Source organism: Homo sapiens, chromosome 18 (genome assembly GCF_000001405.40).
Source record: "Homo sapiens chromosome 18, GRCh38.p14 Primary Assembly".
Classification (NCBI taxonomy): Eukaryota; Metazoa; Chordata; class Mammalia; order Primates; family Hominidae; genus Homo; species Homo sapiens.
Window position 1 is genome coordinate 34,354,081 of NC_000018.10, and position 13,402 is coordinate 34,367,482.

General features: G+C 36.8%; 1 annotated feature.

Annotated features, from left to right (window-relative positions):
* Nucleotides 4,849-4,978: an enhancer, noted in NCBI's record as "active region_13215". NCBI's record gives its function as "activates an Ori minimal core promoter by ATAC-STARR-seq in GM12878 lymphoblastoid cells {active_cell/tissue: GM12878}" and the evidence as "EXISTENCE:reporter gene assay evidence [ECO:0000049][PMID:35858748]".

Here is a 13,402-nt window from a genome sequence, read left to right on the forward strand (position 1 = left end):
TGATGGCTTCGGAGGTAACAATATGGCTGAAAAGCAGGGGATTGTTTAAATGCCATTTTAAGGAGCAGTTGGACCCTTAGGCCCCCATTCTTGCTCTGCAAGCTAGGAGACTGCCCCAACAAAAAATTGGAGGTTTATTCTTTGGAAAGGAAAGAAACAAAGATCTTGTGGACCAGAGATGTTTATCTAATCTATTGCCATGTAACAAATCACTCTCCCAAACATAGGTATAACCATCTACCATTATACCTCATGGTTCTATGAGCCGACTGAGCTCAATTGAGCATATCTCACTGGGTCTCTCTAACACAGTTCCAGTCAGATGTCTCCTGTCTGGCCTGGAATCTCTGAAGACTTAAATGATTTGGATGTCCAAAATGAGTTCTTTGCTCCCGTGCCTGGAACCTCAGCTGGGATGGCTGGAACAGCTAGAGACTGACCAGGTGCTACTCTCTTCACACTGACTCTCCATATGGCTGGTTTGGCCCATCATAACTTGGCAGTCTCGGAGAAATTGAAACTCTTCCAGGGAGGCTGGCTTTTTCTAAAGCAAGCATTCCAAGAGATCCAGGTGGAAGTCACAGAGAGTCTATGACATAGAGTTGGAAGTCATGCACCATCACTTCTACCACATTATATTGGTCAGAAGACGCTCACAAGGCCAGCACAGATTTAAGATGAGTGGAGCACAGAAAAATGTGACCACCAGGAGATGTGGGTTCATTATGGGACAGGGCCATTTTTGGAAACTCATTACCGAAAGGAAACACCAGGTACAGATGAGGACTGAAGAATTTAATTTTATTTTTTTTCAAGTGAAAGTAAGTTTATTAAGAAAGTAGAAGAATGGCTACTCCATAGACAGAACAGCCCCACGGGTTGCTGGTTGCCCATTTATATGGTTATTTCTTGATTATATGCTAAGCAAGGGATGGATTATTCATGCCTCTGCATTTTAGACCACATAGGGTAACTTCCTGACATTGCCATGACATCTGTAAACTGTCATGGCGCTGGTGGGAGTGTAGAGTTGAGGACAACAAGAGGTCACTCTCATCGTCATTTTGGTTTTGGTGGGTTTTGGCCGGCTTCTTTACTGCAACCCGTTTTATCAGCAAGGTCTTTATGACCTGTATTATGTGCTGACTTCCTATCTCATCCTGTGATTTAGAGTGCCTTAACCGTCTGGGACTAAAGGATTTAAAACTGAGAAAATAAATAAAATATTAAACCTTCTCTTCCTTTCTTCATTGGATGCCCAGAATTCAGGCCTCTAGACCTTTGCCTTCGACATAAGAAATCTGAAGAATTTGCTGCAGAGCATAAATACACAGTCCTTGGAGGTTCGTGGGAAAAAATGGTCCCAATGCACCCATCCAAACCATCCAAGATTAAAGTGCACTAATTGGCAAGCCCTAAATGCACACAAAGTGCATCAGTTCAGCTAGTTATGCTCCACTTCTCAGTTACAAAAACAGATCCCCAACAGACAAAGAAACAAAAAGGAAGTGAGTAAACAAACAATGGCAGGTGAAGAAAACATCAAACATCATTAATGCCATTAGATGGAAAAGGCAATATAGTATGATCTCAAAACAAAAGCACAATGGTATAAAAAGTAACATAGTAAGAGAATATAGTAGAGCCCTTAGATATACACATAGACCTAGATGGTGGGTGGGGTATTGTGGGTTTGTATATGATAGGAAATATAAAACATTGAATTAAAATATTGAAAGGTAATGTTTTAAGAGAAAGAGATGAAAAGTAAGAAATAAGTTTAATACACTTAAAAGTTCACTTCACAAGTTCTATGATCAAAATAGCAAGTGTTCCAGAGAGAACAGAATAAACAAAAAACAGGAAAATTTTCATAGAGTCAATTCAAAGAAATTCTCAGTATTAAATAATTAAATTTCTAATTCAAAGGTGCTGTTATGTGTTAAAGTGCATGAAGTCCTAACTCCCAGTACTTCAAAATGTAATCTTGTTTGGTACTATCATCTTTGTAGATATAATCAACTAAATATGAGGTCACTAATCCTCACCAGTCCAAAATGACTGGTGGTGTCATTACAAAAGGAGAAATTTGAACACAGCCCTAGAGGCACACAGTGAGAAGGCCATATGGAGATGCAGGCAGAGACGGGGTGAGGCATCGACATGCCAAGGAATGAATGCCCAACATTGCCAGTAAACCTCCAGAAGTTAGGTGAGAGGCATGGAATAGATTCTCCCTCACAGTTCTCAGAAGCAGCTGTCAAATGTAATCTCAGTCTTACAGCCTCCAGGGCTCAAAGACAATAAATTTCTGTTCTTTAAGCCACTCAGTTTGTGGTACTTTTTTACAGCAGACCTAGGTAATTAATACTGGGTCCACCAAGTATCCAATAATATAGATGAAAATAGATCCACAGCAAAGCACATGACAGTGCAATTACAGGATCTGAGTGAGTGTAAAGAGAAGATTCTAAAAACTGGGGAAGGGAGTAGAAGAGAGCTGGTTTTGAAGGATCAATGGTTATGAAGGATCAATAATAAAAATCTATCAGATTTCTCAACAATAATGGAAGTAAGAAGACAGTAGGGAAATGTCTTCAAACTTTTGAGGGAAAAATAGTAATTTCTAACCTAAAATTCTTAATCAGCTAAAACACCAATAAAATGTTAGGGTAAAACAAGGACATGAGATTGCAAACACTCATTTCTCAAGCATCTATAGAATGACATGGTCCACCATAAAGGATGGCATAAGCAGAGAAAAGGAAGACATGGGATTCAAGAAATGAATCCAATGTAAGAGAGAATGGTAGAGTGGCACAAGGCAATTGTTGAGGATTCTGCAGGATGGAAGCTGTGGAAGAGGCCCGGGGAGCACCCAGCTCCTTTTGGAACATGTCAGATGACAAACAAGAAAGAGGAGGAGGACAAGGAAAAAAAAAGGGACAAGGAAGAGGAGGAGAAGAAGTTGTTAATTAATTAATATGATAACTGATTTGTTTGAGAAATTTTATACTTATGACAGGGGATAGTAGATTAATGAATAGTCATTCATTAAGAAAGAAAACTTAAGGGGTTAAAAAATAAAGTAAAAGAAAAAATGAAATCTCTACTTAACTACAGTTTTAAATAGGATTTTTCATAGTCATATCAATGTAAACACTGAATATGGATTTAAACAAAAATTATAAATGAAATTAAGACAGATAAGGGAGAATTTTGATTATATGGGGTGGGAAGTAGAGGTGAAAGAGTGCTAAATACTCATCTTTTATAGTGAAAACTTAGTAGAAATATGCTCAATATTAAAAACAGTAATGATAGAAATACAAAAATAGTATATATGAGTACAAAGTAAGTACCCCACCAAAGATTGCCTTTGCAGAGCCAGAATGGGGGAACAGGTGGGATACTGTCATTTTTCATCACAAGCCTGTAAAGCTATTCTACCACTTACATAACATTTATACATAACTTTGAAGGAACTAAAAGTTATTAAGAGATGACTTCTTCTGAATAATTCTGTATTTGAAGTGTAGAGGTAAATCTTTGGTCATTTACTCTAGGCCAGTATAATGTAACCAGGAATCACCTGGTATTTGGTTGAAAATGCAGGGCTAGAGTAGGACCTGATATCGTACATTTATCTTAAGCTCCCAGGGAGTGTCAATCCCATTGGTCCATGAACTGCATTTTGATAGCAAGGCTCTAGAACAGCATTTTTCAACTCATTTTCAACTATTTCAGTCACATGAGGACCTTTGTAAAAAGTGTAGATGTCTGAGAACTATTACATTCTTTAATGGCTCCTATATTGCTTGTAGCCTGGAGTTCAGACTCTCAGAATGGCACACAAGGCTCCTCCACACAGAATCCTGTCCTGCTCTGCTGCCATTACCCCATTTCTTCTAGTAACTCCAACTGGTGATCTCCCCCAAGCCCACCATGCTTCTTGTAGAGATGACTCAAAGATGACCTTGGTGTGTTGGCCTCTAAATTGTTTACTTCTTCACAGCAGGTGGAGTTCTGTTAGCTTAAAGCCCAGTCCATACCAAACTCAAATTTTTGTACAGTCATTTCCTCGTATCCGCCATTTTGCTTTCTGTGGTTTCAGTTACCCTTAGTTAACAAAAGTCTGAAAATATTAAATGAAAAACTCCAGAAGTAAATAAATCACAAGTGTTAAATTACTCACTATTCTGAGTAGCATGATGAAATCTAGCTCCATGCTGCGTCTTGCCCAGGACATGAGCCATCCCTGTGTCCATCAGATCCACACTGTGTATGCTCCCTGCCCGTGAATCACTTAGTAGCCGTCTGGGTTATCAGATTGACCCTAGTGGTATCACAGTGCTTGTGTTCAAGTAGCTCTTATTTTATTTAATAATGGCCCCAGAGAGAAAGAGTAGTGATGCTGGTAAATCAGATATGCCAAAGAGAAACCATAAAGTGCTTCCTTTAAGTGAAAAGGTGAAAGTTCACAACTTAATAAGGAAAGGAAAAAGATTGTATGCTGAGACTGCTAAGATCTACAGTAAGAACAAATCTTCTCTCCGTGAAATTGTGAAGATGGAAAAAGAAATCCGTGTTCATTTTGCTGTCACACTTTAAACCGAAAAGTTACGGCCACAGTGTGTGATAAGTCCTATATTAAACATTGTAGGTATGTACACATAGTGAAAACACAGTATATATGAGGTTTGGCACTACCCAGTTTCAGGCATCCACTGGAGGTCTTGAACTGTTCCTCCCAGGATAAAGGGGAACTACTCTGTAGGAAGGCACTCAGAGAAGATTGTATGTCCAATTATTTTTTTAAATAGCTCGAACAATCACATTTTTTAGCCCCTGTGAGCCTAGCTGACCCTTACCCACCCCAAACCTCACCCCACATCTGCTGGAGATAAACAAGAGAAGGCCTGAGCCATGAGGATCCCTACCTGCTGCTGCCCTTCAGAGATCTCTGACCCAAAAAATTCCTCGCTGTGCTGCTGAGCTGACTTCACCTAGACACGTAAATCTCCTTTCACACTCTCTCCTCTGACTGTCTCCTGGGAGTTTCCCTGCCCTTCTCTTGTAAGTAGCAACCTCTATGCCTTTGCCTGAGAACACACTCCTGCTGGAAGGGACTTCCCCTGCATTCAAACCTGTCAAAGTGTCACCCACAAAGCTTGTGTGTGCTACTGCCACATCATGGTCATATTTTTTCCATGATTGGCCTCCACATCTCAATCTCTCCATAAGGCTTTAAACACCCTGAAATTCACTCCACTTTAATTGGCTAACTTCTTTTTATCTTTTAAGACTATTTTTAGGTGGCAAGTGCTACAAGACACTTCCTTGGCCTATAACACGGAGAATTAATTAGTGTCCTGCCTTGTAGCATCTCTGCATAGAACATAATCACAAATCAGAAGTTTCAAGGCTTAATTTGACCTTTGCTGATCTAAAAGTACTTTGGGGAAAACCTCCCTTTTCTTATAGACAAATGATTTTCTTTCAGTCAAATGAATAAAATGTTTATTGAGCAGCGTGTATGCAAAAATATATACATATGTGTGTGTATATATATATATATATACACACACAAATATAGCCTCTGGATTGGATTTTCAATGGTAAGAAATAAAATATTGGAGATTCTATTCCCGTGGAGTTTATAGTTTACTGAAGTAGGCAGGCATTAGTCATACAAATAAGTATAAGTGCAATTGAGATAACTTCTCTGGAGGAAGTCACTCAGAGGAGATTGTAGACCAAAATTTATGCCAGCAGTGCAGAGTACCACATAGACAAACATTTTTAATTTCATCCTGTCTTGAAGCTAGTAGTCTTCAGACTGTTCTCTTTCTGGACTATGCCCTTGGGTGATCAAGCTAAAATCATTATGCCTGTGCATCACAATGAAGAACCCTGGGCCTTTGAGTTTATTTATTAATTGGGCTGAACCCAGATGGACTTTCAAAGAGAACTCTTGGCACAGCTGTGGGTGCTCTCTTGGCCAAACCCAGCATGAAAATGGAGTTGCCATATATCAGGCACATATTCCAATGAAGATGTTCTTTATTTCAACCATCTTCTGATTATATATGTCATACATCATAGAAAACTTTGAAAATACAATTCAGTTTTAAGAAGGAAATAAAAGTCACCTATAATCACCACCTAAATATGAGCATGGTTGACATGTTGCTGTATTTCCTCTCCTTTGTTTCTATGCCTCTGTAACAGAAGAGGTATATTAGTTGCTGTCTCCACCCAAATTCTCCTCCAGCCATCATCTCCTCACTGGACATCTAATTTCCCTACCCGTTTCCAGAACCATCAGTTAGTGAATTGTCTGTGGGAACCAGTCGGATGGAGGCAGATGATTTGGGGCACTAAGCCGGTAGTTGGTAAAACTCTCTGACCAGCAACAAGAAGACTCTTCACATTGTGTCACGGTCTACACTTCCCTGGTACTTGCAAAGGAAGGTTCTGTTTTCTTCCCCAAGGATTGAGGTATCTCAGTTCCTTCCTCCCATCTGCTTGTTCTCTCAGCCTTCTTCTCTCTCTTCCACAGTTACACATCTTTCAGGGAGTAGAAAAAGCTGCTCCTCAGGCAAGCCTGTGAGTATTTTTATGCAGCACATCAGTAGCTTGCAACTTCTGTCTTTGAGACTTATAGTCGTTAGAACTGTTTCTGAAGTGGGTGATCCATGCCTACAGTGTGAAATAGGCTTGGGAAAAGGCTCCTTGGAGTAGGAATAAGAGAATTCTATGATCTAGGTAGAAAAGAAAAATGGAAAAGAATTGCAGTCTAATAAAGATTAATAATCCCACCACACATGTATGTACCTGTATTTTACAAAATCACAAGCACACATAGCCAGTTTTATGTCTTGATATATTTTTATTCATTATTGTCTTATATTTTGTCAAAGTCTTAAAATTTTGTTTGAGAATTGAATTTTAATGTTTGTAGAATGTTCCATCCTCTGATCTGCAGCTGCTTACCTGGTTGCCAGTCAGTAATTTCATGTAGTGGTCAAGAACACAGGATCTAGATTCAGATGACCTAGACTGGAATCACAGGACTCTCATTCGCCACTTTCCTGTGACCTTGGAAAAGGTACTTAACTCCTCAGTTGCCTTCTCTGTAGACAGAAATATTAATATTACCTGTCTCATAAAAATAATAGAAAATTTAATATGCATAAATAGCTAGATTGACAGTAAACAGTCAATATGTGTAGTTGTTGCTATACTAATTTTAGTTTTGTGTTGTTTCTAATTATTATTTTTTATAAATAGCTTGATTATGTATGTATTTAACATTTTATCTTTTTCTTTTTTACCTTTTTAGATAGAATTCTAGAACAGACCAAGGGCTATGAATTTTTAAAGGCTCTGGATACATTTTGCCAAATCATTTATCAGAATGATTACATAATTTTACACCCACACAGCAGTTAAATGTTCTCCCTTCAATGAATTTTCCATCAGCAAGAAGAGTAATCTTTAAAAAAAAAAAAAACAAAACCCAGACTGGATCGAGTGCCTCCTTAAATCTTTGGTATGGCTTTGCTGGACCTGAGTATGCTGTCCCCTGCCCACTCATCTTGCCCTCTCCTCTTGCACTTCTTTCCTATTGGCTCACTGTCCTCCAGCCATGCAGGTGTCCTTTCCATTCCTGAACAAGCACACTTTCATCCAGCCTTTGGACTACATAATCTGTAACCATACTATTCCCTCTGCCTGGGATACCTCCCCTTCCACATGTCACCTCCACTCCTTAACTTTGCTTAGTTAATTCTTAGTCACACACACACACACACACACACACACACACACACACACCTGTGCATCAGAACACATTATTCTCCCTTTTTGTATCCTCTCACACACTGTCTTTTACTCCAAAGCACTTAGTGCAAGTGTAATTCATTAATTAATTATGTAATGATTTCTTTAATGTTCTTTGCTTAGCTTGTTTCTAAGCACCATGACAACAGGAACTGTGATTATCTTCTTGATGACCATAGTATTTGTATTGTCTATTGCAGATGCAAAGTAAATACTAAATAAATACTTGTTGGGTGAATAAAAGAGGAAATGAAACAAGATACACTTGACTTGATCTTGCTTTTCTGTAGGATAAATTTGTCTTTCAAATGTCCATTCACCAATTGGGGTATACCTTTTATACCTTTCTCTTCTATGTAGATACCCCATTAGAAAAATCAGGACCGCACCCGTAACTTCAAGCCATATAGTACGCCATCCCACTCCCAACCCAGAATTTAGGCTAAAGACAGAGCCCTTCTTTTTGGACAGGAAAGGCTGCACTGAGAGATTCTGGACATAGACCCAGAGACAGGACTGAAGTGAGACAAGGCGCGATCATGAAACAGGGAGTTTAATCGAGCTCTCTCCCCAGCTCCTTTCCCCATTCAGCTCATTGATCACTGATATGGGCTTATAACTCAACAGAGGTTGAAGTATTTCTGTCTTATCAAATTGGCTCACCCAGGATCCTGACCTTTGAGGATCCCCACAGAAGGGCTACATTCACACCTGGTGATCCATCTAACTATAGAGCTGCCAGTTAACAAATCCTACCCAAGTGTGCAGAGCTTCCAATCAAATTCTAAGTACCTCACTCTTAAATCTGAATAGAGAACAAAGGACCACCAGATATTTGAAGGAGGCATCTAATGTGAAAAAAAAACCACACACACAAACATAAAATGGAACTTGGAAGAAACAGGAACAATACAGGTAAAAAAATAAAACTATGAAAATAAATTTGCCATGGTACAAGAGATAAGATAATTAAAAAGAATAAAATCTTTTGAAGAATATTTGAAAAACAGGAAAGAGCTATTGGAAATTAAACATGGAATACCAGAAATTAAAGATTCAACTGAAGGTTTGAAAGATATATTTGAGAAAATCATTACAAATAGAGAAAATAAAGACAAAGAAAAAAATATGGGAAAAAAGATAAGAAAAAAGAAAAAAAGAGAATCAACGTAGGATGGGCAGTATCTAAATGACAAATGTTTCTGAAAAAAATAAATAAAATTTCTTATATGGAGAATACAGATGAGGAAACTATCAAAACAATAATATCGATTATGAAGCTAGATTAAAACATTTTTTAGAAATTCAAGATCTCAATGATGAGCTTTCCCAAAAGAGAAAATAAAAGAAGGAGACATGAGATCCTGGAAATAGAGAATTCAAGACAGGAGAGAGAGAAGGCAGTTCCAGGAATAATGGCGGATGGAAGTTTTCTAACAGCTGAGCAGTAGATGTGGGGAACAGCCAGACTAAACCGCAACAGTGTCATAGAAATACCTCGATAGGATATGACATGCCTGGAGATACTGAAATGACTTCTACACTCTTTCAGAGACTTTTAAAATAAAAGCGTATTTTATCAAATACAGCGTATTTTATCAAATCTAAGCTATCAGATTCTAAAATTTAACCTCATATTATGTACTACTAAGAAAAAAGATGGTTTACCAATTAAACATGACTAATGTTTTATTTTATAATTATTGAAATTTAGACTTTTGTAGACATAGATTTATATCACACTGGCTGTATATAAAGAGGATATAGAAACAAAATAAATTGATCAAGGCATTTCTAAACTCTTACTTTTGGAGTTAAGATTTCAGATATGTTAACATGAAAAAAAATGACGAAGAGAGCATGGCTGAGAATCCATAAATTATAGTAGGAGAAAAAAAAACAAAGCAAATAAAAAACAATTAAATATAAGATGTTTAAGATAGGAAATGTAATAATGGAAGAACATCATGTGGCTGCTCTGGTGGAGTAATATTTAGTCATGACAATGACATGTACAATGGCATTGTGACATGAGAAGTATACAAAATAAAACTGGATGCTATTCATATCTGTAGCTGTCTGGATCCTACCAAACTTGAAAAATATTAAAAGAATTCAGAATTTGATTAATGAAATAATCAAATCAAATGATGAAATAACCTGACCGTTGGATTATAGAGATGGAGGGATTCAGACTCAAATCAAACTTGAAAATTAAGTAATGAGTAATAACTTTTTTTAAAGGCTTTACCTATAAAAAATATAATTCTACACTTTGGCCTGGGCCAGCACCATCTACTGATGTGAGAATCCCAATTATTTTAGAAAAAGGTAATTATTTCCTTAGTGCAGCGGTCTTTAAAGTATGAAATAATAGATAACATATAAAATAATACATTAAATATATCCCATAATGAATTCTTGAATATCTTCGTTGTAATCAGATATTTAAGAATTTGGCATGCTAACTCATTAGTGAATTCAACAGATTAGTCCTAACATTCTGGAGTATTTGGTTTTGCCTTGTTGGAAACTATGAGAGAATTTTTGAAAGTATATCAACCATGTTGGGATGTTTAAGGTAAATGGAGAATCACCATAGTTACAAGTTTACTTTGCTGAATTTATTATGACTGTTGGCTTAGTATATTAGTCAGCAAAATAAAATACTTTAAAAATATTAAATAGAAAACAAAGTTTAAAGTTAATTACAGAATTTTAATGAACTAAGTTTGTAAATGACACCAAACATTAATATAAGGACCCTTTATACATACTATCAATACCAATAGATTATGGACAGAAAAATAAAATTTGTAAGCTGAAGTTAAAAACTTACAGTAAAACATTTAAAACTTGTTAACACTAAGAAGTTGAATCATGTTTGAAATCCAAAGTAAACACAAATATTGTAAGTGTATGCAAATGACTATCTTGAACAAACACATAAAATGCCCTCTCAGAGTCCCAATAATGTAAATAACTGCAATATTGACTTAACCCCAAATTGCAGAACAACTGTATTTGGGAGGTGGAAAAGAACAAAGTTGTATGGAAACGGAGGGTGTGGTGATAAGGGGATTAATTACTCCTCTTTCAGAGTAAGAGTCAATAAAATATGTCTGAGATTAAAAAATAGAGACATAACAATATAAGTATATTATTTAGAAATATGGGAGAAAATAAAAGAAACGGTTTAAAGAGTTGACAGTGATTGCCTCCAGAGAGTCAGAATCAGGAGGGAGGAGGGTCAAGGCAAATTGCTGTTTTTCTAAATGTGCTTATTGAAACTAAAAAACAAAACAAAAAAAACATGAGTATGTATTACTTTGATTTAAAATAGACATTAAATTTAAAAAAGAAATATTGAGAAAATAACTCGGTTTTGAATTATACATACATTGAAATTTTAATATATTTTTGTTATCCTCTTAAACCTCAAATTACAATTTTCTTGATGTTTTCATGCCCTTTTTCTATTCTCTTGCCCAGGATTTTTTCTACCTTCTCTCCTTCTGCCAACTCTAACCATACCACCAAAGCACATGCAAGCATTTATCATCAGGGGTTAAATACAAAAAAGTTCTTTGTTAAGAAAGAGTTAAACATTTGATGCATCTGGAAGTGGATACTTCCGCCCATGGGGTTTCAGGATGAGATGTGCAGCCATTTGTGCAATGGAGCCTTAAAACAATCAGACCTACACCCTTCCAGCTAAAGCTAGATTTTGACAAATTAATAGCAAATTGATTCTCATTTGTACTCAAATCAATACACCCTCAGAGATCAGCATGCTTTATACCTTCTGCTTGGGCTACTTTCTCAAAAACCTATCCACCTGTTAATTCAAACAGAAGTTTTTGATTTTTTTTAAAAGAGTTCTATTTATATCCCCATATGAACATTTTTCTAATATAATACCTAACCCATTCATTACAGTTAGTCTTTTTCCTTACCATCCTCTAAAAATATTTTATACTCTGCCAAACCAAAGGGATTTAATTCATTACAGTCTATTATTTTTAAAGTCACTGTTAGCAAAATGAGCAGAATCATGATGTATTTACTCTCACTTATACCTGTGCCTAGAATTTTCTTCTGCTCTCTGCCTACCTGGTAAATCTGTCATTAATTTTCACAATGCAACACAAAGGTAACCTGTAAGTTTTTCTTGATCCCACCAGGGAGAATTGGCCACTGTTTCCCATGTGTTCCTACTGCCTCACCTATTCTTCTACCATTCAGACTTTTATCCTAGGACCTGAGTGTCTGGTGAGCTTTATCAGACTCTGGGTCCCTTGAAGGTAAAGACTATACCTTAGTCATCTCCATATCCCAAACACATAGCACAGCGCATGGTACAGAGCAAATACTCAAAAAAAAATTGGTGATTGAGTGAATGACAGTAACTACAATAAATTACAAGGCAGAAGACAGAGAGTCTAATGCTAGTTTTTCAGCATATTAGCTATGGAACTCTCTAAACTTCAGTTACTACTTTTATAATGTGGAAAACTAATACCATTTATTTTACAGTTACAGAGGTATCATGATCAAATGAAGGAATGAATATAAAAATACCTTACCAGCTGTAAAGAAGTACACAAAGTATTGTTTCCTCACTTTTGTCATTCATTCAACAAGCACTTACTGAACACCTGTTTCGTGCTAGGCATTATTTTAGGCACTGCGATAGATCGGTGAATAAAAGATAAAATATCCCTGTCCTTGAGAAACTCAATTTTGGGATGGTTGGGGAAGGAAGAACAAACGATAATCAAATCAGTAAAATATATAGTATGTTAGATGGCGATAACTGCTATCAATAAAAATAAAGTAGAAAGGGGGGATGGAAAGTATAGGTAAAAAAATTGAAGCTGCAGGAGAGCAGGGAGAATTGCTGGAAAGACTGAGCATGAAGAATCATGAGAGAGCGGGATCTAGTAGAGGAGTAAGGACAGCTCATCCTTGGCAGCAGGAGAGAAGGCTGACTGTGTAAGTCTAAACACAGGAAGGTGGTTGGGGTGGTAGTATGGCATTGTATAAGTTTTCTTCTCAGTAAAATCAGAACAAGAATCTCAGTTGAAAGTGAGGGGAGGGACGGCAGTGTTCAATGTTCAAATATAAAGGAAAAATAGTCTTAGAAGAGTATGGGCAAACGGAGGAGACAACTATGGGTTTTTTCCTGCTGAGATGTTTATTTTACATAATTTTTAATGATTTGATTATTATACGATGTATTCATGTATCAAAACATCACATTGTACCCCATACATGTGTACAATTATTATGTATCAATAAAGAAACAAGCAAACAATAAAAAGAACTATGGTTTAATTGCCAGGCAGTATTAAGGAATCACTTAGCGATTATAGATTTAAGGTATTACCAGTTACCATGGTTGTGTTTTTCTTCACCATTGATCAACTCTGCAGGTGAAGTTATGGTAGAGGCAAAAGTTTGGATTTAACTGGATTTTGACTTAGATAAGGGAGTAGAATCCAGTGGGAAGCAAGAGGTTTGAGGCCATGTGCAAGGGACAGTGGCTTGTCATAGG